At 42.2% G+C, this 27,372-nt stretch overlaps 1 protein-coding gene across 2 annotated transcripts in view, besides 5 other annotated features; it reads right to left on the bottom strand.

Moving 5' to 3' along the window:
- The window catches only part of RBM20 (RNA binding motif protein 20), a 196,224-nt gene extending 169,646 nt beyond the window's left edge, over positions 1-26,578 (bottom strand). Inside the window, exon 1 of one of the 2 annotated variants that reach the window (XM_017016103.3) lies at positions 26,383-26,578. In XM_017016103.3, coding sequence (XP_016871592.1) covers positions 26,383-26,408 — 26 coding nt within the window. In that variant the 5' untranslated portion in view covers positions 26,409-26,578. Of the gene's footprint in view, positions 1-25,177; positions 25,488-26,382 lie in introns of those variants that run through there. The other variant, NM_001134363.3, reaches the window with a different exon arrangement.
- Positions 4,558-4,852: an enhancer, noted in NCBI's record as "tiled region #1411; K562 Activating DNase unmatched - State 5:Enh". NCBI's record gives its function as "activates a minimal TATA promoter and a strong SV40 promoter by Sharpr-MPRA in K562 cells {active_cell/tissue: K562}" and the evidence as "EXISTENCE:reporter gene assay evidence [ECO:0000049][PMID:27701403]".
- Positions 17,589-18,088: an enhancer, noted in NCBI's record as "H3K4me1 hESC enhancer chr10:112411493-112411992 (GRCh37/hg19 assembly coordinates)". NCBI's record gives its function as "activates a minimal SCP1, AML or CMV promoter by ChIP-STARR-seq in naive H9 embryonic stem cells {active_cell/tissue: H9 hESC(naive)}" and the evidence as "EXISTENCE:reporter gene assay evidence [ECO:0000049][PMID:30033119]".
- Positions 18,089-18,590: an enhancer, noted in NCBI's record as "H3K4me1 hESC enhancer chr10:112410991-112411492 (GRCh37/hg19 assembly coordinates)". NCBI's record gives its function as "activates a minimal SCP1, AML or CMV promoter by ChIP-STARR-seq in naive H9 embryonic stem cells {active_cell/tissue: H9 hESC(naive)}" and the evidence as "EXISTENCE:reporter gene assay evidence [ECO:0000049][PMID:30033119]".
- Positions 25,693-25,782: a silencer, noted in NCBI's record as "silent region_2821". NCBI's record gives its function as "represses an Ori minimal core promoter by ATAC-STARR-seq in GM12878 lymphoblastoid cells {active_cell/tissue: GM12878}" and the evidence as "EXISTENCE:reporter gene assay evidence [ECO:0000049][PMID:35858748]".
- Positions 25,980-26,524: an enhancer, noted in NCBI's record as "H3K27ac-H3K4me1 hESC enhancer chr10:112403057-112403601 (GRCh37/hg19 assembly coordinates)". NCBI's record gives its function as "activates a minimal SCP1, AML or CMV promoter by ChIP-STARR-seq in naive H9 embryonic stem cells {active_cell/tissue: H9 hESC(naive)}" and the evidence as "EXISTENCE:reporter gene assay evidence [ECO:0000049][PMID:30033119]".

The following is a 27,372-nucleotide window of genomic DNA, read 5'->3' as shown; positions in this document are numbered from 1 at the left end:
TACAACTCTTGCCACCCCAATCCCTACCTTTTACTAACTGGACAGACCCAAAAATGTCAGTTTGGCTGGGAAAGCCAGTCCCTTGAAATGTACTACAACCAGGCCAGATACAGTGGCTCATGCCTGTAATCCCAACACTTTGGGAGGCCAAAGCTGGAGGACCGCTTGAGCCCAGGGTTTGGACACCAGTCTGAGCAACACAGCAAGACCGTATCTCCATTTTTTAAAAAGTACTGTAACCAAGTGAAGGTGCAAAGTTTTCAGATTTGAAAGCAATCTTCTGAGCCTACAAGTGTTGTAATTGAATCCAAAGTTTTGTTGAAAGGCACATACAATCACGTAAGTGGTTTTTGAATGGGAGGCAAAAAACCATAAGAGGCTTTTCAGATAGATTGTAGTGGCCTGTAAACACGTCTTACTTCAAGTTTATTGCTTTTAACAGAAAATCCAAATAATACATGGAGGAGCTGGTCGTTTAAATATCATTCCTATTCCCCAAAAGACAACCCTGTCCCCCCTACCCCGCCACACGCATACAGACTTGCCACACTCCTTCCCAGTGCTTCCCTCTCAGGCTATCTGGAAACACTTTCATAGTTCTCCAGCCATAAGCAAGCTCACCGTCAGTGGATTAGCCAAAGTAACCAGTATTTTAAATTAATCTTCTGCTTATTCTCCATCATGGCTTTGCTGCTATTCCAGAAAAAACGAAGGAAGATTTTCCTCTGCTTAAAAACCACAACACCTTTATGAGGTTCAAGACAACTAAGTTAAATACACATACATGTAAACATGCAAAGAGAAATGACACAACTTTAACAAACTGTAAATATGTTTTCCATAAAAGTCACCATTTTAAAAGTCACTTTTCAAACAAAACAAAGCAAGGGCCAGGACTTAAAATGATCAGTAGGTTTTTTGGTTTTTTTTTTTTTAATTGTTATACTAAAAAAGTAACCACAGGGAACTGTCCTAAGAAGTTCAAAAAAGAACTTCGTCAGTCTCTGCCTTCAAGTGAAACATTAGGCCAAAGAATCTTAAGAGTTGGGATCAACTCTGCCTCTACCCTCCCCTCTCTTCACAGTCCTCAAAGAGCAGACATGAAAAAGATTTCAAAGAGGGAATTTAAGAGGGTTTCTAAAAGGTTTCTCTGGCACTCTCATCACTCATCGCAAACTCTCTGGGCAGGAACGACACTTGTTCAGTTTTTTTTTTCCTCTCCCTCCCTCCACCTGTTGTCCCAAGTCTCCCTTGGTATGTTGGGGCCATTCGCAATTTCTGCTTGAATGACAAGGTCTCCCCTATAATCCAGTGTCTCCCCTTCAACCCAAGTCGCTGCTTCTAAATTGGAGCCCCCTAGAAAAATATGTGCCAATTAGGGGAGACTTTACGCATCACAAAATGGCCATAGGTTGGTTGGTTTGGTTAGTTTTTCCCTTGTTTTATGCTTTTCAGTATTATGACTGGCTGCACCTTAACCTTCCAAAGTAAGTGAAGCTGAGATGGGTGAAGACGCACACAGTCAGATAGCAGGGGGCTAGGCTAGTGGTCCCTAATTCCCTTTTGGCCTCCCCACCCAAGGTAGCCCCAGACACAGCTCTGGAATTCCAGGCGGGATGCTTGGCATACGTCAGTAATTGAGTTAGGGGGATCTAAAGAAAGACTTCACGTTCACATTCATATGCTAAACTTAGTTAAAAATAGATGCAAGAAGGGCCTGACTTCACTTTTAATTTTAGCCTGGTGATGAACATGCCCTAAAGACAGAAAGTCACCAGGCATTTTCCTGAGCGCAGTGATCTTCATATTTTTATAAAAAGGAAATGCAGCATGTTCTATTAATAAAAGTGCTGTAGCCTCAGTTAAATCCGGACAGTTCGTAAATCAGGGCTCCCTCTGGCTTAGCTTCCCTGCACCACTCACTCACACCCAAGCCCCAGAAAGTGGGCAGGTCACATGCATGGGGGGTAAAGTGAGCAGGACACCAGGGGCCCAGGAATCAAAGGCCACACTGGATGGCTTTGTGATCAGTGAGGCACTCCAAGGCATGGCTCCCAGACACTTCCCAGGTGATCAAATGACTCAAACAAGTGCATTTGCCAGTCATTCTTAAAGGGCTAATGAAAAGATCGACACTGCCAGGATGAAGCCCTGTGTGTTACGAGATTAGTGATGAAAAGGGGGCTGGGTTCTGGCTGTAAGAGGCAAACAAGGTAGAAAGGAGAGAAAATGTGGTGCTTGCTTCAGGAAGAGCAGGCAATTTCACCTTTTCCTTCCAATCTCAAAGCTGGCAAAGTTCAAGCTGGCTTCTAGTCATCTAGCTACTTACCTTTCATTCACCCACCGAGGCAGGATCTTCCCCACTGTCCATGCCCATCAAGCCACATGACAAAATAAAATGGAGCCAGGTAGAAAAAATGCCATCCTTAGAGCACTGAGCCTCCTCATTCAGGCTAAATGATCATCCCAAACTTAGGCAAGGTGGCCCAAGGTCCCCAAGAAAGTGCTGGAGAATATCATGGGGTTCAGTGGGGGTACCCACGTCACAGGGATGTCCAAACACATAAGCTCCGGCCCAGCCTTGGGATTCTTAGGATCTTGGTGAATGCACTGCAGTCTTCTTTTCTAAATGAACATCAGAGACCTCACCTCTTGCCAGGCACTGTGGTAAGCATCATATGGACAATCTCATGTCATCCTCACAACAGCCAAATGAGGTTGGTTGAAACAACTGTGGCACAGAACAGTAAGACCACACACATCCTAAGTAACAGGCTGTGCTACCTAACCCAGATCTCTCTCAATCCAAAGCCCAGGATGGTGGCAACAGAAAGGGCCCAATAAGGCCACAGTGGGAGGAATGCGGTCTATTTCCATTTTCTTCCCTTATCCTTGGATAAATTTCCCGCCCTCAAAGGAAGACCGACTCTGATGTTTTGGTGGCAGTTTTTGTTCTTGATTTGCCTTGCCCCAATTTTCCCATGTTTATATTACAGCTGCTTGTAAAACCCTATAATCCTCAATCTAAACAATCCTACAATAGTTTGAGCCCCAAGAGAGACATAAATTCTGTAAGGTAAGATGGAAAGACTGTGAGCTTTGGAGCCAGACAGATGTGAGTTAGGATCTCAGCCTCCTACTTGCTGGCCAGGTGATTTTTGTTTTTTATTTTTTTCTGAGACAGGGTCTCTCTCTGTCACCCAGGCTGGAGTGCAGTGGTATAATCATAGCTCACTGCAGCCTCAAATTCCTGGGCTCAAATGATCCTCCTACCTCAGTCTCCTGAGTAGCTGGGGCTACAGGCATGTACCACCACAGCCAGCTAATTTTTTAAAAACTTTCTGTAGACATGGGGTCTGGCTATATTGCCCAGGCTAGTCTCAAACTATTGGCCTCAGGCAATCGTCCTGCCTCAGCCTCCCAAAGTGCTGAGATTACAGGCATGAGCCACTGCACCCAGCCCCCAGGTGATTTTTAAGAAGGGTCTGTCGGCTCCACAGCCCAATATTAAATTTAAGGACATCTGAAAACAGAACTGGCCAAGTGGCTGAGCTGATGTCTTGTTCTGTTTAACTTTTTATTACGGAAACTTTCAAATTATACAAAGGTAGAGAGAATAATATAATGATTTCCATGTACTCACCACCCAGCTTCAAAAATTATCAATCTATGGCCAATCTTGTTTATTTTGCACCCCCCTTCATTATTTTGAAGCTAATCCCAGACATATCATATTTAATCTATACTTTAGTATACAACCCTAGAGTATAACTGCTTTCTTTCTTTCCTTCCTTCCTTCCTTCCCCTCTCTCTCTCTCTCTCTCTCTTTCTTTCTTTGTGCCATCACACTGGGCTAATTTTTTGTATTATTTGTAGAGACAGTTTCACCATGTTGTCCAGGCTGGTCTCGAACCCCTGGATTCAAGTGATCTGCCCATCTTGGCCTCCCAAAGTGCTGGACGACCATGAGCCACAACACCCAGCCAACTTCTGTATTTTAACATAATCAAAATACCATTACCACAGCTATAAATAAGTAACTAATAAATAATATTCTTTTTAATGTTCACATAATCAAATAAATAATACATGAATAAATAATTCTTTAACCTCACTATTCAAATATAATATCTTAGTTATCATATATATCATAGATTATCATATATATGTATATGCATGCATGTATACATGTTACAGTTAGATTTGTTTTGAGCTAGGACCCAAACAAGAATTATATACTACATTTTGCTGATAAGTATTTTAAGTCCTTTTTAATCTACAGATAACCCCTCCTGCTATTTTGATTCTTAAAATTTATTTGTTAAGGAAACCAGGCCTGCAGCATGTCCCATTTTCTGATTACCTGATTCATCTGCCCGATATCATTTGTACATGTTCCTGCATCCCTTGTATTTTCTATAAACTGGTAGTTAAATCTCAAGCCTGCCAAGACATTAAGATCGATCAGTGGGTTTGAATATTATCAGCCTGATCCCTCCATTATAAAGAACGCCATCAGCTGCACCTAACAGCTTAGTAGCCATTAACAACCACATTGTCTAAACTCATTATTCACCAGGGGTTGCAAAATGCTAATATTCATTCCTTCTGTATTTATTAGACGGCATTCTTCTATGAAGAATTTTCTGACTGGTCATGGTGACTCATGCCTGTAATCCAACACTTTGCGAGGCTGAGGCGGGAAGATCACCGAAGCCAGGAGCTTGAGACAAGCTTGGGCAATATAGGAAGAGCCTATCTCTACAAAAGAAAAAAAAAAGTAGCCAGGCATGGTGACATGTGCCTGTAGTCCCAGATACTCAGGAGGCTGAGGTGGGAGGATGGCTTGAGCCCAGGGGGTCCAGGTTACAGTGAGGTATGATGGTGCCACTGCACTCCAGCCTGGGTAACAGAGCAAGGACCCTGTCTCTAAAAAGAGAGAGAGAGAGAGACTGAAGAAGGAGGACAGGAGGAAGACAAAGGGGATGAAAGTTGGTTCCCCAGCACCCTATAGTGGAAACTACTGAATTTTTATTTTTTTATTTTTATTTATTTTCTTTTTTAAAAAATTTTTTTGAGACAGAGTCTCACTCTGTTGCCCAGGCTAAAGTGCAGTGGCACCATCTCGGCTCACTGCAACCTCCACCTCCCAGGTTCAAGCGATTCTCATGCCTCAATCTCCAGAGTAGCTGGGACTACAGGGGTTAGCCACCACACCCAGCTAATTTTTGTATTTTTAGTAGAGACGGGTTTTCACCACGTTGGTCAGGCTGGTCTCAAACTCCTGACCTCAGGTGATTCCTCCCTCTCAGCCTCCCAAAGTGCTGGGATTACAGGCATGAGCCACCAAGCCCGGCCGAAACTACTGAATTTTTTTAACTTATAGATTTTGCACATGTTAATATATTTGATGTATGTAAATCCACTATAGTTATTATTTTTAATGCCCAAATTGTTCAATATTTGGACAGGGGGAGCCCCTTCAATTAGCTTCTGAGTACTTCTCACAGGACACCGTGGTCTTTGATAGCTTCTTTGCTTTCTGATACAACAAGATATTCCAGCTCATCTTGTACACTTTCTGCCCCAGGCCTGGAATCAACATTTTTCTAAGGATTCTTAGTTTCTTTTTAGCAGAAAAAATGTACTTAGAGGCCATAATCTGGATGTTACAGGTGCTTACTGCTACTAGGTTTGTCATTATTTCTAGGCTGTTCAGTAGACAAGGTTAGAAAAATTTTTTTATTTGTTTAAAAGAAAATACATCAGGAGTTCTTACTAATATTTCCAATTCAAATTTAGAATTACAGGATTTTCATTTAATATCTTGATGGTAAAATTGTCACTGTTTTTGTATACTGAAAATTTTGGTTTCTAATGATTGCAACATAATTGCTCTTATTATGTATACTCATATGTTTATGTGGGTGTGTGTGGATATATATTAGTGTCAGTACAGTTCTATCAACATTTTTACTTACAATATTACTGAAAACAGCTCAAGATTAATTTGGCATTCACGTTGACGGTAAGATATACACTAGGGATGTATAATTAAATTAATTGTGTTTTCAAGTTATCTGAAATAATTGTGTGGTTAAACCACCAACTTGATACATAAGTTTGTTTCACTTTAGTCTTGATTTTTGGGGATTACTTTTGTCCATGTGAATTTAATTTTTTTATAATTAAGACAAACATCTATAAGCTTCCAAAGTCAAATCTACAAAACAAAACACATTTGGAGAAGTCTAGCTTCTACCTCTGACCCACTCTTCCATTTCCTACCTACACATACAGGTAAATATTTTTATTGGTTTATTCTTCCATTTTTAAAAAAGTATAAGCAAGTACATGTATATTTCTTAAATAATAGATAGCATGCCATCCGCTTTTTCTGCACTCTGCTTTTTCATTTAATAGTACGCCCTGGAGATCATTCCATAGCAGTACACGGAGATCGTCCCCCTTCCCTGTCATTGATACATAGAATACTGTGTTCTACGTATCAGGGTGTGGAATGTGTATACAACTGGCTATCTTCTCTGTAAGAAAGCAGGGTGATGGCTGGGTGTGGTGGCTCACGCCTGTAATCCTAGCCCTTTGGGAGGCTGAGGCAGGTGGATTGCCTGAGCTCAGGAGGTCGAGACCAGTCTGGGCAACGCCCCGACTCTACTAAAATACAAAAAAATTAGCTGGGTGTGGCAGTGTGCATCAGTAATCCCAGTTACTTGGGAGGCTGAGGCAGGAGAATTGCTTGAACCTGGGAGGCGGAGGTTGCAGTGAGACAAAATCGTGCCATTGAACTCCAGCCTGGGCGACAGTGTGAGACTCTGTCTTAAAAAAAAAAGAAAGAAAGAAAGCAGGGTGAGAGGAAGGTGAATATATATTTGTATTTGCTTCAGTGACCAGAGGGGCCAGATTTGAGGGATGTCCAATGTAGGGATGAACAGGAAGATCAGAGCCTACAGGCTGCCTAATCTCAGACACTGTGTTCTACACATCAGTATAGAGGAAGGAGGGCGATCCTTTACTCAACCCATTCCCTGGTGATGGACATCTGGGTTGTCTCCAGTCTTTTGCTATTGCAAATAGTGACATGATGGAGAAGCTTGTGCCTATGTCTTTTAAAAAATTTTTGTGTGTGTATCTTGGGATAGATCCTATAATAGGATTGATTGGTCAAAAGGTAACCCACATGTACTTTTGCTAGATATTGCCAACTTCTCCATAAAGGTTGTATCATTTCATGTTCCCTACCAAAAAGTGATATGTTTTACATGCTGACAAGTTTTCTTTAATCCTTCCAAAATCTTGGGAGCTTTAATTAAAAACCTCTGAGAGAAATGTGAATGAAAGCCATCTGATTCAATTCTCTACATTTTAGACCGAGGAAATTTCTTTGAGAAAGGGCAGTGATGTTCTCAAGGAACTGCCTGACCCAGTTTGGCACTTTACACATAATCTCTGTCTCCCCTAGTGATGTCAGAGAAGTCAGCACAGTGTTAAATATTCGGTTTGAAAATATGATAGATTAGTTTTGGTCTTTGTGAACCGCAAGTGGCTTCCTGAATTGGAAATGAAAGTTTACTGGGGAAGGAGAGCTTCTCAGTGCTTTTTTCTTTCCTCATCCCTTCACAGCCCTTCTAACAAAGCACAGATCTATTTGGAATTTAATGGTACCATTCAAGTGCTGGCTCCTATCCACACCAACACCACTGAAGATCATCTCCCTTGAGCGTCCTCCCAGCAGCTGGGATTAGACAGCATATAGACTCTGCCACTCAATGCTACTATCTTTTTTTTTTTTCCTGAGACCAGTCTTGCTCTGTCACCCAGGCTGGAGTGCAATGGCATGATCTCAGCTCACTGCAGCTTCCGCCTCCTGGGTTCAAGCGATTCTCCTGCCTCAGCCTCCCAAGTAGCTTGGATTACAGGTGCCCACCACCATGCCTGGCTAATTTTTTGTATTTTTAGTAGAGACGGGGTTTTGCCATGTTGGTCAGGCTGATCTCAAACTCCTGACCTCAGGTGATCCACCCACCTCGGCCTCCCAAAATGCTGGGATTACAGGTGTGAGCCACCGTGCCTGGCCCCTACTTTCAACATCTCTCAAATCTCACCCTCTGGTCACTGAAGCAAATATGAATACATATTCACCTTCCTCTCACCCTGCTTTCTTACAGAGAAGGCAGCCAACTGTATATACCTTCCACACCCTGATTTTTGCCCTTAGTAATATATTCTTGAGACTTCTCTGTATCCGTACCCAGAGATGGTCCGAATAGTATTGGGAGGATGTAGCCAAGTGTTATTCACGAATCCCCTATTGCTGGACACACGGTTGTTCCAATCTTTTTTGGCCTCTATGTCTAGGGACTGAGCCCAGGCCTGCTGCTCTCCCTCCACCATCAAGATCCCACCAAATACACAAGTCAGATCCCAGCCTAAGGGGTTCTGGCTACACTGGCAACTGCTGGAGCTGGGCCATGAGAAGAGCACCAAGTCACGGGTGCCCAGGGAGAGTCTTACTTCCAAGAACCCCACAGGAGCAGAGGCTACAATCTTCTAACACCTTCCACTTTCAGTTTCCTGAATCACAAAACTCAGACCCTGAAGCCCATATAGTTCATATCCTAGGTGGGCTCAGAGAGGGAACAAATGCCACCACATAACAATCACTAAAGTCAGTATTTTTACCTATAGTTCACTTAGTCATTCAACAAATATTTAGTGAGCATCTTCCAGGTGTCAGGAATTGCTCCTAGGCCCTGGGGGGTAAATCACTGAGTACAACTCTCCTGCCATTGGAGAGCTTATGTGGTGGGGGCAGGGTGAAAGGAGCCATAATAGACAGTAAGAACATAATAAATGAGTAAATTATATAATTTGTCAGAACAGCGGTCCCCAACCTTTTCGGCACCAGGGACCAGTTTTTTGGAAGACAATTTTTCCATGGACTATGGTGGCAAGGGATGGTTTAGGGATGATTCCAGCATATCACATTTATTGTGTACTTTATTATTTATTGTAATATATAAGGAAATAATTATACAACTCACCATAATATAGAATCAGTGGGAGCCCTGAGCTTATTTTCCTGCAACTAGATGGTCCTATCTCGGGGTGATGGGAGACAGTGACAGATCATCAGGCATTAGGTTCTCATAAGGAGCATGCAACCTAGATCCCTCCTATGTGCAGTTCACAATAGGATTTGCCCTCCTATGAGAATCTAATGCCACCACTGATCTGACAGGAGGCGGAGCTCAGGCAGTAATGCGAGTGATGGAGAGCAGCTGTAAATACAGATGAAGCTTCGCTTGCTCGCCCACCGCTCACCTCCTGCTGTGTGGCCTCGTTCCTAACAGGCCACAGCCTGGTACCCGTCCATGGCCTGGGGGTTGGGGATCCTTATGCTAGAAGACAACAAGTGGAAGAAATAAAGCAAAATAAGACAGCCTGGATGGGAAGAGATGGGTTCAAGATGCAATTTAAATAGGGTGGTTGGAGTAAGTCTCCCTGAGGAATCGTGAGCAATCACTTATTTTCCAGGCAGCTTCTTTTTTTTTTAAGCTGCCACAAGTCGACTGTCATTATTACTGCTATAGTTAAACTGTCATTATTGCAAATGTCAAGGCAATAATAAAGCAGTATCTTGGTGTTGCTGTTGTCTTGATTTGTGTTATTTTAGAAATTGCTTGAGGCCAAGCATGGTCACTCACACCTATAATCCCAGCACATTAGGAGGCTGAGGCAGAATGATCGCTTGAGCCCAGAAGTTTGAGACCAGACTGAGCAACATGGTGAAAACCGGACTCTACAAAAAAATACAAAAAAAATTAGCCAGGCATGGTGGTGCACACCTGTAGCCCCAGCTCCTTGGGAGGTTGAGGTGGGAGGATCAGTATGCACTCTAGTCTGGGTGAGAGTAAGGCCCTGTCAAAAAAAAAATTAAAAAAAAAAGAAGAGGAAGAAGAAGAAGAAGTGGAAGAGGAAGAGGAAGAAGAGGAAGGGGAAGGGGAACGGGAGGAAGAGGAGGAGGAAGAGGAAGAAGAGGAAGAGGAAGAAGAAGAGGAAGAGGAAAGGAAAGAAAAGAAAAGAAAAAAAAGAACAGAAATTGCTTGAAATAGGCAGATGCTAGCTTAGGGCTTAGAAACTTTTTTTTGAGATGCAGAAATGTATCATTGAAAGCATTGATGCAAGCAGGTTTTAAGGAGTGTTCCTAGTGGTCATTTCCACCATTTATCCTATTTGGATCAAATCTCTCAGAAATTCAGCCTGGAAATTGCCTGCACACAATCTGGCCTCTGGCTGGAGATGACAGCATGAGACAAAAAGCTGGCTTACATGAGGACACATGTATTCAGTACTGCTTTCCTACCAAGGCATGTTCACCTGTCATCTCATTGACTGTTTGAACAAGCCCCATACCCTGGTCCCCCTTTAACCCATGTGGACTCTAAGAAGCTAAGTGCTACCTCTGGTCACACAGTGGCTTGAGAGTGGAGCCCAGAGCAGAGCTGAAGTTTATGACTTTCCGCATTTATATTCTTCTTATATGGCCTCTCTGAACATAAATGTCTGTCTAGCCCTTTCAGACAGGCAGTCCAAATAAAACATAAGCTGGAGAAAACCAAGCTTTGGCGTCACATCAGGTCTCACCCATGAGAGCATCCTGACTAGTATTTCTCATCACCAAGTCAGTTAGATTGAAAGTTCAGTTGCAGTTAAGTTCCTCATTCCCAGATATTCAACACACTATGTGCCAGGGGCTCTGCTAGGTGATGAGGATAGCAAAGGTGAGTGGCAGTGGCCTTGACTGCAAGGACTTTGCATGGTCTTTATGGGAGACAAGCAAGAGGAGAGCACGGACAAATGCTACTATGGGAGCCACAGACAATTACAGGAAGAGGGTCACTCAGCCCTCCTTCCTGCTTAGGGTTGGGGAAAGCTCCCTGGAAGAGGTGAGGTCTAAGCAGAATTCAGAATGTTCTAGTTGAGGAGAGGGAAAGAGGGCAGCCAAGAGAGGACAGGAAGTTCTGGAGCTGGAGGGCTGAGTGGGGCAGATCTGGAAAGGCCTTCCATGCAGTCTGAACCTTAACCTAAAGGCCAGGAGAAGCCACAGCAGGGCTTCCAGCAAGCAGAGGACAAGGTCAAGACTGTGCTGCTGCAGAGAAAGAAGGAGTGGAGCCCAATCCAGCAGGAGGCCGGGGGTAGAGCTGGGAGGCCTGAACTAAGGGGACGGCAGTGGGCAGGGACAAGGAGGAGGAAATTCAAACGAAAAAGAGGAGGGCACGCAACTTGGAAGGAGTCAGAAGGCCTGGCTCTGAGCCCGGGATCTCCGATCATTGGCTAGGTGACCCTGAGCTACTCCTAGTTACTTAGTCCCTACCTACTTCACAGGGTTGTTGGAGGATTAACTGGGATAACCTAGAAGGAAACAAAGTGCCCTGTGAATGCTACAGACTGTAAAACACAGCGCCATTCACTCACCCCCCAGCACTGTTGCATCATGGCTAGGAGACGTCAAATTACCCTCACAGGTGTGTAAGTTTCCCCTGCTCCACCGAACTGCTCTAATACTCGGCTGGCCTTTGGTAAATCCAGTCTCCTTTCTGGACCTCATCACCTTTTCTGTAAAATAAAAGAGCTGACTCAGGTGATTTTTAGGGTTTCTTTCAGTTTGAAGTTCTGCAGTTTTGTTGTCTTTTTCATCTTGTGTCCCGACTTCCATGGTCATAATTACTTGCCAAATGAAAAACTATTGAAGGAAGATTCATCAACAGAAGAAAAAAAAACTAATGAGTGATTGATTCTGAAAACAAAGATGAAAAAGTGTATATTCTTTAAACACCTTAAAGGGTTACATTAACATGCTCCATTCAATGACATACTAATAAAAATTTGAAGACGTTTCACCCAAACAATGATTCTTATGTACAATATTTGTGATCCTAAAAGGTTAAAATATCATTGGCCTAGAAATTTACCCAAGAGAAGCTGAAAGATATGTCCAGATAAAGACTTGCAAAGGAATGTTCATACGAGCTTCATTTGTAATAGCCAAAACCTGGAAACAACCTAAATGTCCATCAACAGATGGATAAAGAGTTTGCACTATATCCACAAAACAGAATACTACTTAGCAAAGTAAAAGGCCCAAAGTTTTGATACAAGAAACAACATAGATGAACCTCAAAATCATTATGCTAAGCAAACCCATAAAATAGGAGAACATATTTGCAAATTATACACCTGATAAGGGCCTACTCTCCAGAATTTTCAAAGACTCTTACCATTCCAAAACAAGAATGTAAAAAACCCAGTTTTAAAATGGATGATAGATTTGAGTAGACATTCCTCAAAAGAAGATATACAAATGGCCAACAAGCCAACATGAAAAGAAGCTCAATATCATTAGTCATTACTGAAATACAAATCAAAACCACATTGAGATAGTACTTCATACACCCACTAGGATGGCCATTAAAAAAAAAAAAGAACAGGCCGGGCATGGTGGCTCATGCCTGTAATCCCAGCACCTTGGGAGGTCAAGGCAGGTGGATCACGAGGTCAGGAGATCGAGATGATCCTGGCTAACATGGTGAAATCCCATCTCTACTAAAAATACAAAAATTAGCCAGGCGTGGTGGCATGGGCCTGTAGTCCCAGCTACTTGGGAGGCTGAGACAGGAGAATCGCTTGAACCCGGGAGGAAGAGGTTGCAGTGAATCGAGATCACGCCAATGCACTCCAGCCTGGGTGCCAGAGCAAGATTCCATCTCAAAAAAAAAAAAAGAATTACCATATGACCCACCAATTCCACTCCAAGATATATACCCAAAAGAACCAAAAACAGATGTTCAAACAAAAACTTGTACAAAAATGTTCACAGTAGCACTATTCACAATAGTAAAAAGGTGGAAAAACCCAAATGTCTATCAATAGATGAATGGACAAAGAAAACGTTTTCGGTACCTATACAATGGAGTATTATTCGGCAGTGAAAAGGCATGAAGTGCTGACACATGACACAGTATGGATGAACCTTGAAAGCATGATGCCATGTGAAAGAAGCCAGACACAAAAAGCCACATATTATGTGATCCCATTTATATGAAATCTCCCGAATAGGCAAATCCATAGGGATGGAAAGCAGATTGGTTTCCAGGGACTGGGGAGAGGTGGGAATGGGAAGCAACTGCTTAGTAGGTATGAAGTTTCCTTTTGAGGCAATGCAACCATTTTGGTACTGGAGAGTGGTGATGGTTGCATAACACTGTGAACGTACTTGATGTCACTAAATTATGCACTTTAAAATAGTGAAAGAAGACACACACACACACACACACATGAGTACATACTTGGATTTCATTTGTATAAAATTCTAGGAAACGCAAACAAAGAAAGCAGATCAGTGGTTCCCTGAATGTGAGGGGGATAAGGAGAAGAGGGAAAGATAAATTATAAGAAGTATGAAGAAACATTGTGGGGTGATAATTTTTTTTTTCGAGATGGAGTTTTGCTCTTGTTGCCCAGGCTGGAGTGCAATGGCGCTATCTCCACAGCTCACTGTTGTAACCTCTGCCTCCCGAGTTCAAACGATTCTCCTGCCTCAGCCTCCAGAGTAGCTGGGATTTCAGGCGCCCACCACCACGCCCGGCAAATTTTTTGTATTTTTAGTAAAGATGGAGTTTCACCATGTTGGCCAGGCTGGTCTCGAACTCCTGACCACAGGTGATCCACGTGCCTCGGCCTCCCAAAGTGCTGGGATTATAGGCGTGAGCCACCACACCCAGCCAACAATGTTTATTATTATCTCAATTGTTTAATGGTTTAATGGATCCTGATGGATGCTTTAAACATGTGCAGCTTACCACACTTCAATTATACCTCTTAAAATTGAAAAAAAAAAGACCAAAAAAAGTTTTAAATTTTATTATTAGACCTCTGAATTGTTAGCATTATTGAATTGCTATTTGAAATACACTGAGAAACTCATGGTTTAAAGGATTTTTACTGTAAACCCTGTCGCAGATCAAAAGGCACAATCCTTCCCCAGTTTATGGATTCTGTTCAGTCTGGTTGTTACAGACCATGGTTTCTTAAAGCAAAAGAACACTTGTAACAATGTCTGCAAAGATGGTTCAAAAAGTATGTCTGGCAGAGACTAGCTGAGCTTCATGTGTACTTGTTTCAAGTCAGGAATTCCTTTTGCTATGAATAGGAGCCTTGGACACTTTAATCATTGCAGAATCCTGGTTTTCTGAATTGGTTCAAAAATGGTCTGGTGGAAGTTGGCAGACACACTTTGCAAATCAAACTATCGTGTCTGTTATTATTTTAGCACATGCTGAGAGGATTATAAGTGTTTATGTGCTCTCTGTGAGCATCAAATTTAGGTCTTGTTTAACATGCATAACAAGCAGAGTAAGACAGTGAATCAAATGCCAGAGTCAGATTTGTTCATGGAATTTAAATTGGGATATAGATTTCACTTTAAACCAAAGCTGTACTTAAAGTTTTAAGGGGAAAAAAAAGGGCGGGGGTGGGGGACGGAAACAGGAAAAAAAAGTTTTAATTGGATTGCTTAGTTTGTCTTAAATTTGACCTACTTTCAGATTTATTTTAGTCATTTTTTTCTATAATATTTTCTTGTAAGTGATGGATTTTCTATAAATTAAGGAAACAGATATTTACACAGAGAAGACAGGATTGCTTGAATTAGTATAACATTCTTTATTCCAAGCCCCATTCCACCATGTTTTCATAAATACTATTTTTCTTAGCTTTCCTGGGTCCTAGTAAGGTTGTGCCTCAGTTTCCTCATCTGCATGATGGGGAGAATAACAACACTTACCTCACAGGATTATTGTTGAAGTAAATGGATTGAAAATACCTCAACTGTTTAGAATAGTGGCTGGCACACAGAAAGCACTCTGTACGAGTTAGTTGTTATTCACTTTATTATTACTGCTTCCTTTAACAGATAAGAACACTGATGCTCAGGGTTAGTAGTGGCAAAGCTGAATCCAGAACATAGATCATGCCTGCTCCTGCTCCTTTTCACTACTCCACACCACCTTTTTCACCCATACATATTTTGTGTATGAAAATAGGAGTACCAAAGTGGAACAGGCAAAAATAGCTGTGTAACTTAAATCTAAAAAACATGAACAAACTGCTAGTCACTGACCAGCCCCAAGACTCACCCAGTTTAGGCACCAGGGCAAGTCATCAGTCATTTTTAAAGCCTGCTTCATACAGTGATTTTGAAAACAGAGTTAAAAGGCTTCTGCAAAGAACCAACATAACTTCAAGAGGATACCCAAAAAAATCTGATGAGCAGTACAAATTACATCAGTATCCACTTATTTCCATTAGCATTAAAATGGACATTAAAAGCACTGCAACTCAAGAGATGGAATGTCTCTTATAGAGTTAAATGGGAAGTAGCTGACCCATGGATCAAGTCCTATGAAGTCAGGACTAGAAAAATCCAGAGGCTCTAGATAATATCTATGGGGTGATACAACGCAAACATATTTGCAAGGCTGTTTGATATAAACTGTGTGTCCAAACTCATGCATTCTAAAGTGATCCACATATTTCATTACAATTGCTCCTTAAATATTTAATCAAATTAAAAGACAAAGCCACCAGATGAAAGTCTGTTGGAACATAGATATTCAGAGGGTCTCATGGTAGCACCTCTGCAGACAACTTACTACTTATCACAAACAGAAAAATGTCTGTCTACAATGGAGCAATCCGGTGGCCGCCATGTTAAACAAGGGGTCAAACTCTTAGCCTATCTTTGCCAAAATGTTTAACCTGGATCTGGTCATGAAGAAACAACAGTCACAGCCATATCATGGTTCATTCTCCAAGACAACTAGCCTGTAATCTTCAGTATTGGAAAGTAGAAAGAGGTGGGTATACTTGGTAGATTAAAAAGAAGAAATGGCTGGTGCAGTGGCTCATGCCTGTAATCCCAGCACTTTGGGAGGCTGAGGCAGGAGGATTGCTCAAGTCCAGGAGTTCGAGACCAACCTGGGCAACATGGTGAAACCCCATCTCTACAAAAAATACAAAAATTAGGAGAGCGTGGTGGTGCACGTCTACAGTACCAGCTACTTGGAAGGTTGAGGTGGGAGATTGCTTGAGCCAGGGAGGTCAAGGCTGCAGTGAGCTGTGATTGCACCCTGTACTCCAGCCTCAGTGACAGAGTGAGACCCTGTCTCAAAAAAAGAGAAAGACATTATAAACAAATGCAAAAAAAAAAAAATCAGCTATATGAGAGATTATCTGACAAATGAAAGTTAAAAACCTAGTGTTTATTAGAAAAAAATTAAATAAGACTAATTTCCTGAGCTATGATAACAAAATTATAGTTATGCAAATTACTTTCAAATAGTTCAGGAAAAGAAAAAGCAAGAGAGAGCACACTCAAGGGCAAGCAAGAATGCAAATATAGTCCCCGCAAAGCAAGGTTTACTTTTTAAAAATACAGTCCAAATTATATCCTTGGTTGAAACAAATTTGAAGCAGAGTGGGAATTGGGGTGGCAGAAATAATAATGGGCATTCCTATAACTGGCTTGGGAGTAAGAAGTAAAATGTGTTTTGTTTCCTTTAAATATTAGTTATGCTTTTACATCTCAAAAGGTTCATCTTTAAACCACAGCTTGAAGGTGTTAAGAGGACGTTTCTGGGTATGAAAGGAAGGTAGGTACTGGGTTTTTCCTCTATTAAGGATCTGGGGAAAAAGAGTAACCTTGAACAAAGAAGAGCAGAGAAGAAAATGTGATGGTTGGCTTCTGTTTGGCAGGAAGGAACAGAGCATGAGATGCCCAGGAGAGACCCAGTCTACTGCCACTCCCATAAAAGTCCCGTGTGGGTGGGTGAGCAGGATGGGGTGAGAGGAGATAACACAACCAAGGATGCTTTTCTCAACCCTCTTAGGGGAAGTGAGTAGACTAAGGCTGGTACATACACGGTTAATTTATGAATGCCTCCATTTCTCTCTCCTCCATTCCCAGGATGACAAAATGGTGGCTTAGCAGAAAATATAAGACAGAAATACAGGGATTCTCATCACAGCCTGATGACTCCCTCGCTGTGTGACCTTCAACAATTCACTTGACTTCTCTGATGCTCATTTGTCTTACCTAGAAAAACAGGAAGGCTGGGCTAAAACAGCTCTCAGCTACCTTCCAGGACTAAAATGTAAGATGCTAAAGGGCAGCTCAGTCTTCAAGACAGTGCAATACCAATGTGAAATGTCTACTCCTTCTGTTGCTGTTTTTAAAAATGAAATACTCGCAGGTACAGACGGTTAGGAAAAGAAATAGATAAAGAAAAAAATAGTTTTATTGTTTTCTTTTATTGTAAAAGTAATACATGCTCACTGAATTTTAAAAAAATAGACCATATTAAAAAGGAAGAAAAAAAGACAAACCAGTCTAATTGCCCCACCCAGAGTTAGAACTACTGTTAATGTTCTTTACATTTGTTCTTCAGATGTTTTTTAAGGCTGGCAGGCACCAGCACACACTCATACACATCTTTTCAAAAACAAACATGAGATCTTTGCATACATGCTGTTTGTAATTTTTTTAGTTAATATTATATGGTTCTCCTTCCATATCAATCAATGCAAAATAGCAGCATCATTCTAATGGCTGAGTAGTACATGACCTTATACCTACACATGGTTTATGTTTCCAACTGAGAAACATTTAAGTGGTTTCTAATTTTCACTTTTCTAGACAGTGTTGAAATAAATATGCTTATGTTCATCCTCATGTATGTACATATTTGAAGACTTTAAATCAAGATTTAATCACAGACTTCTCTCTCTTTTTATGCAGAAGGTTAAAATATTGATCATTTCAAATACCAAATAAAGTTTCTCCACAACTCTGCTATTGCCAGCGCAGGAGGATGCAGCACTGGCCCCACAGCGCCCACATCCTGGCTCTGGAAACACTCGGTCTCCTGATTCAGTGAGGCTACACGGAAGCATGAGGCCCAGCTTTGGGACAACTATGACATCTGCAAGGCTGCAAAGAGGTTTTAGGGCGAGCTCCAGGCTGGTCTCTGCGGCCAACTGACTGTGCGTCACGGTTCAGGAGTCCCTGCAGTAGCCACAGCCGTGCTCCTGTAAAACGTTTGTGGGTCCTATGTTTACATTCTCTGACTCTGAAACCATCGATGTCACCAAACACACTCCTGTTGGCCTGTGTTTAACACAATCCAATTCAGACACATGAAAATTATTATCTCTGTCTCCCAAGCTGAAAGTGCTACTTTCAGTTTGTTAAAGTAAATGTTAAAGTACTTACTTTAACATTCCAAAAAATTATTCTTATACCAAAAACATTTTTAGAGATTGAAGAACAGTATAAAACCTTTTCCTGTTCACTGACATTAGTGTTTATTTTTCTGACTTTTAAAATTATGTCACTGATCCAAATATTCTTTGTGAATGCTAGAGAAAGTATTTCATTCTCTTTTTGTGGTTATTGTTGTATTCATGGGTGATCAGTGTCACAAATATGTACCTGTGTCCATGGCTAAATTTAATTGATGTGGGACATATTCCGTATCAGGTGATGGAGGAAGTAGATGGAGGGAGGCATTCTACATTGGGTATCACTCCACAATTTTGCTAAGATTTGCACAAGAGCCACCTAATTTTATTCTTGGAAGAAACTGCAATTGATCATTTCCAATCCCTGGAGAGGCTAGATTAGAAAGGTTAATTGGCTTGTCCAGGTCACTGACTCCCAGTCCAGAGTTTTTTCCTCTGTGGCACTCCTCGACAGAAGCCCAGTAATTAACTTAGAGCAAAGATGCTCATTTTACACCTGAAAATATCAGACTGATCTTAAATCATTCTGTTCAATAATTAATTCAAAATAAACCAAAGGAGGAGATTTAGTGAAACCAATGCATCTTTAAAATATATATTACCTAGTCTACTCCTGACACTGGAGGGCAGGTTGAAGGGCAGGCCTAACAAAACTTAAAAACATATTCGGGAAGGAGTCCACAGACAAGTTGCAAAACCAAAAAGTATTTAAGATGTCCAGACAGCAGCAATTGGAGGTTTCCAGGTTTGGGTCAGAGTGGGAAGTGGTAACTGAGAACTGATGGGTCATTAGTGTGATCAAGAGAAAGCAGGTGCAAAGAAAAGGCAGAAGCAAGTGGCCCTGGTACAGCCTTAAAGCAAATACCACATTAAAGAAGGCAAAATTGGCGTGGAAACTATCTTCATGGGGTGATAACCACTCCCAAACACATGCATGACCCCCCTGCCTTTTGTTTCTGAACACATGGAAAGATTGATTTGTCCAACTGAGCTGTGAGTTATGAACACATCCTCATGCAAGTTGCTTAACTGCTCCCTTTTTGCCCATAAAGTACATCAGCACCAATATGTGCCATCTCCCCTACAGATCTGCTGTCAGCAAGTTGGAAAAGTTGCCTTAGAAACCATCAGGGGACTTACTTATCTTATAAAATCCATCAGGAGCTGTGGGGAAGAGGAAGATCAATCAACTTGACTGTAACTTCCACCGCGGTAAAGAGTTTATCATATTAAATGGATATATGCAACATATCCAAAACACACACAAGTTATTTGGGGGGAGGGGTCCTTCTCACTTTCACTTCCTCCCCCAACAGCTGGCAGTGATAACTTCTCCCCACACTTGCTGTGTGTAAACTTTGAAGACTAAAATCTTGTACAGCTCTTTAGTTGGGTGGAATTTAAACAGTGACCACCCATGGAGCCAGTCAAACTATCAGCTCACCAACAATACCCCCGTGGTGGTGTTGCAAACCAAATTCACATTCCTGATTCAAAAACATGTCTTCTTAATTAGGATCAGAATCTGCCAGTCTACTCACTGGTGGGAACATGCAGTATTAGGCATCCAGGATAACACGCATATTCTCAAGATCCAGCCAGGTTCTTTAAACAGAAAGGGAACTGCCGTGTGCTCCTTTCTGCAAACCACTAATTACCATCTTTGCCATGATTCTGTAATATGGATCATTTTACTTAATGCAAAACTTTTCAACACTCTAAACGCAGCTACCAGTCACTCACACTAGCTGCAGATCCACAGCAATTTTCCCTGTTAAAATATACCAAATAATATCATTTAGACCATCCCCAATTAAATAATCACTGTGGCAGGAAATAAAAATCAGATTAAGTAGGATTTTGTGGTGTAGGAGACCATTCAAGCTTTTGTCTGGCAGGGAGACCAGGACAGATGAAGGGAGAGGGGTGTCCTACTTCTGAACTTCTCTTTTGGGTTTTAACTCCAGTATCTCAAGCTTCCTCAATTCTTACTTTCCATATTTAGTTCAGTCCATTTTAATTTCTATCCCTTGATTAAACCCCAGTTCCCAACATTTTGTGTATTCTTGTTTATCAAACCTGTGAATTGAGCTATATCAATTTGTTCACTTGAGGACCGGCTGTTGTGGGCGGGGAAGAATATTAGTTTAAACTGGAGTCAAGAACTTAAAGCCACAAAAATAAATAAATAAATATATAAATAAATAAATAAATCAGAAGGAAAGAAAGAAACTGGATAATGTGGAATCATTTCACTGTGAGTCAATCCTGGTTGGTTTTTTTCTGCCCCCTGGTGACTATTAGGACTGGCAAAGAGATCTTAACAGATCAGAGTTCACATTCCAATGGACAGATTTGGGCTTTTTAAATTATTAATTAGATAAACTGCGAAGGAGGTAGCAAAAGAATACATGGATAGAAAAATAAAAAGGGTGATCAAATTCTTCTTCTTCTTCTTTTCCCCCCTACAGCACTGGCATTAGAACAGCTCTGTGTGCACCATATGCATAGTCCTTTACTGTGACTAATGGGAATAATGTACTACATTTCATAATACTGATCTCTTTGGCAATTTGAGAAAAATTCACAACTAAATGATTATACATACTATCTAAAAATACTTATCACAACAAACCCTCAAGCAAAATTTCTTTTTCTGATAAAACTTTGGAAAGCTTTCTAGATAAGCAAAAGAATCATTCAGGCTGCTAAGAAAATAGCACCCCCCCCTTTTCTTCCCTGTTGGGGTAAAGGCTTAATCCTCTCAGATGTTTTCCCTGCTGAATGCTTGTCTTATGTGCAGTTTAAGATGGTATTTAAAATTTTCAAAATTCCTTCTACAAGTGTATTCCTATTTCCCCTAAAATTGGGCTCAAACTGATGTTAACTGGCACAGATGTTAGAAATTCCATCCTCTTTCCAGAAAGGACCAAGTATGAATGAAAGGGAATGTCCCTTTTTAGCAAATTCTTATTTCTTCTCTCTGACTCTGGATGTAATTGTCAGCATACCCATCAAAGTGGGTGAACATCATACACAACTTGCCTGCGAATGACTCCCTAACAGTTACACGGAGATCCTTCTGCAGAATGTCTGTAAAATTAGAGTCTGTAAATCGGAGTTGCTACTTACAACATTTTCTATTCCGAGTGAGGGGAGCACTTTGCTCTGAAAATATAGACAGCCAGTGTTCTAATGCTATACGGAAGACTATAGATCAAAGAGATCAAAGCTGGATTCATGTTTTCATTAACTACAAGCATTTACACGCAGGTAACACTAGCCATCAAATGCTAAACCAAAACTTTTTCTATTGTTTATAATTATTTTTATTCACTGCTTAAAAAATAATACAGAAAAAAGTGTCATCTATACTCAAATTAAATATGCAACCTGATGCCACGCATTACCCAGGAATATTTTGCTGCAAATCAAATAAGTTAGGAAAATCACCTCTACATTCACTTCATAAGAGGGGTGCACGTGTTTGGTTTCTTTCCTCCATGGCTAGTGGTATACTTCGTGGTTCCATCTGACAGCTAACTTCAACATTTCACACGGAATTGAGTGGCTCTGTTTTCATTCTAATGAGTGCTTTAAAACTGGCAACCTAAAACTTAAATTTCTGACGTTCATCAAGGTTAATAAATAACTTCTTATAAATAAAGGATTAGGTTTGACTTTAAAGCTCACGATTAAAACAAAATAATTTTAAAAATAAAACATTGTAAATGTTGGAGGAGATAAATCCTTATAAAACATTCACCAGAATGTCAATGTTTTCTTATTTCTGCTAGTATGGAAAAAATATATATTTGTTAAGTTCTCAAATTATTCTGATTTCCTAACTTATCCCAAATCTCCTCTTAGGGTATTATTTATATTTCTTGTTTCCTAAATAGCCTAAATCGTGTTTTATATACAATAATGCCTCTATATTAGCCAATTTGGAGAATGCATATTTAAAATAAAAATCTTATAAAATATTAATTATCTGTGTCTATACATGGCTGATAATCTTTACAGTAAACAAGAGCAGAAAAGGTATGGATGATTCTTAATGGAAGCTAAAAATACAATGACAAGGAAATGAAATCATTGTACTCCAGAGAAATTAACTCTAGATGCAATCTTCATAAGTACTAAGACTGGGTCCATAAAACAAACAAAATCAGTCTCATTATTAGTCATCACGCTTCATGTGTTTATCTTTGTAAATGTAGTATACGGCAGTTCTCTAAACACCAAATATAACGTGAACAGGAACTGATTTTTATTATAATTGTTACTATGGTTTTTCCAAAGTCATTGACTTTGATCTAAAATAAAAGCCATTACTAATAAAAATCAGTAAACATAGACAGTAAGTGGAAAAATGTTTGTAATCTTCAAACGCACTATGCAACATGAAGAAGATTGATGTCGCCATCATTTTGAAAGCAATCAAAACTTCTCCTCTTACCAGTTACATAACGACCTCACTAAAATAACTAGAAAAAATAGAGGTTCTCTAATAATATTTAATATGTGTTCCACCAGAGGAGAATTTCATCCAAAGCTGTAGCTCACAAAATTCCCCAAATCAACAGGCAGACAACTTGTTTTGCAGCCGAGCACAGTAGCTCCACTATATTTTCTCAAAGATGGCTGATGCAAACCACACCTCATAACTCCATAAAAATGTTTGCTCAGATGGACTTATGCAAATGCAGTTTCAAAATAACCTGCTCAAATTTCGGCGCATTGAAGATGGACCTACAAAGCGTTTGCGACATTATATCTGGTTCCAGCGGAATTTCAGTGGGTACTAAGGAGAGCACAAGCTCCAAATCATCCTTGTAAAGAAAGACTGAAACGTCAGTGCGCAAACATCAAATCCTATGGGCACATTCACAGCCCTGGGACCTGGTCCCTGAACACTGATCCGTCACCAATGTAAAGCAAGCAAAGCCATGAGGCGCTTCTTGAGGTCTCCATCCTGCCCTTCAAGTAGAAGGGGCCATCTTTGAAAAGCTGAGTCTTTTCTTTTAAAATTAGATATTCCAAAGATGGGATTTTCAAAATGGGGGATGAATTTAGAGGGTAAATTATTTATTATGTGAGGCAAATAAAATATACTTTAAATGATCCATTTCCATAAAATGATATTTATTTTCAACCTGGCAGTATTTCATAATCAGACGCCCTTCTACAAAGACTTTTCTGTGAATATAAAGTTCCCAGTTTTCTTCTACTTAAAAGTAAGTAATAGAAAAGTGCAGGGTAATTACAATACCGAAGCAATTTCAATTAACTTCATATGCAGCCTGATTTCAAGCCGCAAGACACTGGCTCCGTACGAAGCACATCAGATGTTTCCAAATTAATAATTGGCCAAATTGGATTTTTCACTAAGTAAACTTTAAATTTTAAATAGTTTTTCTCTGTTGCTTTACATTTATATTAAGGAATAAAGAGAAATTTTAAGTATTGATGTACATAAATTGTCAATCATATTTAGTATTGGCTGAATAATTTGCAAAACAATAGAAAAGAATAATATGAAATATTTTCATTTTGGAATAGTTGGAAACTGTTTGTAGTTGAAAGTTATATAAAATATCCAATTAAAGCAAAAAGTTGTCACAAGTGGAGACTCAGTATTCCACCAGTCAACATAGGGAACCATTTTGTTCTGAAATATGATACCAGCGTTTTCTAATGTTAAACTTGAATTTTCACAATTCTTTCTATTAGATAAATCAGTCTTCAAAACAATAAATACTTAACTGCTATTTACTTCCATTTACACCCATCACTGGTTCTTTCTGTTACTAAGTTTTATTAAATTTACAGGACTCAAAGCATCAGCGGAGCAGCAGAAAACCTCTGCTGTGTTCCATAAGGGTAAATTTTGCTGTACTTGCGTGTATTTATTTAGTGTTGTCAGTTTCGCAGAGGTGCGCATCATTCACTTTCCTACACTTATTAAACTAGTTTTGAAGACTTCATTACAAACTGGGTAAACCCTTAGGAGAGCAGAGATCCTTCAAATAAACCAACATTCTAGGCCTTAAACGGTCACACGAAATCTCAAAAGAACAAACAATACAAAGCATCACTGTTTTTACTTGTATGTTCCTCAAACGGGCTGAAAGAGCCTCTCGGGGCTTATTAACCACCCCCAACCTTCTCAAGCATTGGGAAGGCCGACCTGAGAATTCACGACCCAAGTCGCACAGGTCACCCGAGTCACAAGATGGTAACATTAATGGAAAACGGTTGCGTAGCTAAACTCTTCGAAAAGGCCTTCTTGAAAAGTGTCTACACTTTCAGGGCAAAGTAAAACATGTTGTTTACAAACTGTCACCTCCCTTTCCACTGGTTGGTTTCAGGGGCACCATGAAGGGTGGTTTAATTTTTGGCATTTTACTTACACACCCTCACGCGCGCGCACACACTCACGCACGACTCTCCATTCCAGCGTCCTCTTGGGACCAGAAAGATGAAATACAGTCGCTGGGCCATTTCCCCCCAATCTGAGCTATTTTAGTTCAAAATATCTAGTACCATTCCTGAAGAGAAGAGAAAGGAGATAAGGAAAAACAAAATAATTTTCCCTAAAGAACTTGGCTCCCCTCTTTCCAGCCTAACAAACAGCCAGAAGGACACCGACTCTGCCCAGAGGGGGTACGAGAAAACTTCAAACCCAAGGGGGGCGAGCGAAGTTCAGCAGGGACGGGAAATGAAGCCACAAAGGGGGCTCTCGGGGCGTGTCCCCAGGCGCACCCGTGGTCCCTGTTCCCTTCTCCCTTCTTACTTTTGGATGATCTGGGGTAGGCCGGCTTGGGGCGGGGGCGGTGGCTGGGGCGGCGGCGGCGGCTGCTGCATCCCTCGCGGGCCGGAGGGTGCCGGGGACGCCCGGGCACCAGGCACACTGCAGGCAACTCTGTCCGGCTGCTCCGGACCGCTGGGGTCCGCGTCCTGGCTCATGGCTGCTGCCAGCACCATGCGGGGCGAGACCCGCCCGGGATCGCGGCGAGAGAGCTCAAGGGAGGGGCGGTCCCGGGCCACGGGCGCTCACTGGCCGGGGTCCCCGTGCCCAGTCCCCTTGTCCTTCCCGGTGGCGCGGGGAGGAGACGCGAGGGGCGGGGAGGAGGCAGTCCTGGCGGCGCCGCCTCCTCCCGCTGCTCCAGCTCGTCCCGGCCGGCCACGCGGGGGCGGGGGCCAGGGGGCGTCTCCCGACCGGCGGGAGCTGCTCTGCGGCCGGGGGCTGCTCAGCGCCAAGCTGGACCCAGGAACTCTGCCCGCCGACCCTGGGCGCAGGAAGCGGGGAGGGAGCGCGGCGTACGCCACCCGCCACAGTGCACCCTCAGGGTCCGTAGCCCAGCGTTCCACGGCGCAGCATACCGCGTGAGGAAGGCGACACACGCAGCCCGCGGTCGGCCGCCGCGCTCTCGCTCCACCCGGGAGCCCTGAGTCCTCCGGCTGTCCCTGGGGACGGTGCGCGCGGCCTCTCGCAGCTCCTGCCAAGCCGGGCGGACCGAGCGCGCCCGGGACGTCCGCGCGCATCGCCCGTGCAAAGTGTGCCGGGCCTGGCATCTGCTCGCGGCTGGAGCCCGGCCAGCGCCACTGGCTCTTGAGGCACCCGACCCTGAGGGGAAGAAAGCCTGGACTCGCCCCGAGGTCAGACTTGTATTGTAACCCAGGTCTCAGATGACCATCCCCGGGGCTCTCCAAATTGTCAGTTCCAGCTGCTGATTTCAGGTGTCCCCGGAAGCAGCCGGTGGGGCCACCGTGGGTTTCTGGTTTCTTTTTCTCTTCACTTAAAAGACCCCGCCACGACCCCACGAGCGCAAAGACAAAACCATGCGTACATTTTATTCTTGTTATTTATTGGCCAAATCTCCGTGGAAATGTAAAGGATGAAAAGAGAGTTCGCCGACAACGTACGGTCACCGTCACGCCCTCTGAAGCCCTGTTAATTACCCTGGCGCCCGCGTGCGCCCGTCCACCTGCACTCACCGGTTCACAGCTGTGGACGCGGACATCCTGCGGCCTTTCAAGGCTGAGAGCCACCAAGCAAGGTTCGGCTTAATGCCCTGGCGCGTGGGTGCGAATATGCGAGGCACCTGACACAGAAATGTCTACGGAGCAGAGAAAGACCAGAGAAAGCGGCCGCCCAGTAGACCTTACCGGCTGTCCGGCATACAGGAGTTCTAAGTCCTGAGGCCAGCGTCCCCGGGAAGTAGAGAAAAGCGTGCCTTGCGTGCCTGGGAAACCAGAGCCCAGGATGCCGCATGGCCTGGAGAGGAGTTTGCTCAGGGTCTCCACTCAACTCATTTTCCTCCCGCAACCACGCGGAGGAAAATTCTGAAGATGGATTCCCTGAGACCTAGCAACTACTTGAATTCCCCAAAAGACGCTTTCATGTCTCCCCAGACTGAGTTTCTAGCCTCAGGAAACTACGCCTCCGCCTCCGTTGATTTCTGCCATCATTCTCTCTTTCTCTCTCCTTCCTTCCCTCTCCCTTTTTTATCTTCCTCTCTCCCTCCTCTAATATAAAATGACACTATCAATTCCTCGTATTCATAAAGATCAGTTTGCCACAGTTCGCAAAATTGAGCCTCACCAAAACAAACAAAAACAAAACAAACAAAACAAAAACATGAAACAGGTAGGCTGGTCCGAAGGTAGGTAGTTAGCTCAATAGATTGTTCCGTTCGTTACACATAGAACTCCTTGTTCTACTCTTTCCCCCTTCTCCTTAATGCAGCTGACAAGAAAAAAAAAAAACACCTGGTAAAGAGGTGTTGATTGTTTTTCCCATTTCACAAATGTGGAGGCATTAGGGTGATCTGTCGGGAGGATCCACGGCTAGTAAGAGGCTGTAAGAACCAAGTCCATTCTCTGAATCGTTATCATCTTCAGTTTCTATCACTAAATTCCTAACCGTGGTTTCCTTAAATCTCCATCTTCCACCCCATATTCCCACCCCCAGACTTCCTTAGTGAA

The sequence above is a fragment of the Homo sapiens genome, chromosome 10 (assembly GCF_000001405.40).
Source record: "Homo sapiens chromosome 10, GRCh38.p14 Primary Assembly".
NCBI lineage: Eukaryota > Metazoa > Chordata > Mammalia > Primates > Hominidae > Homo > Homo sapiens.
Note: the sequence above shows the minus strand (reverse complement) of the source record. Positions and strands in the feature narration are given on the sequence as shown.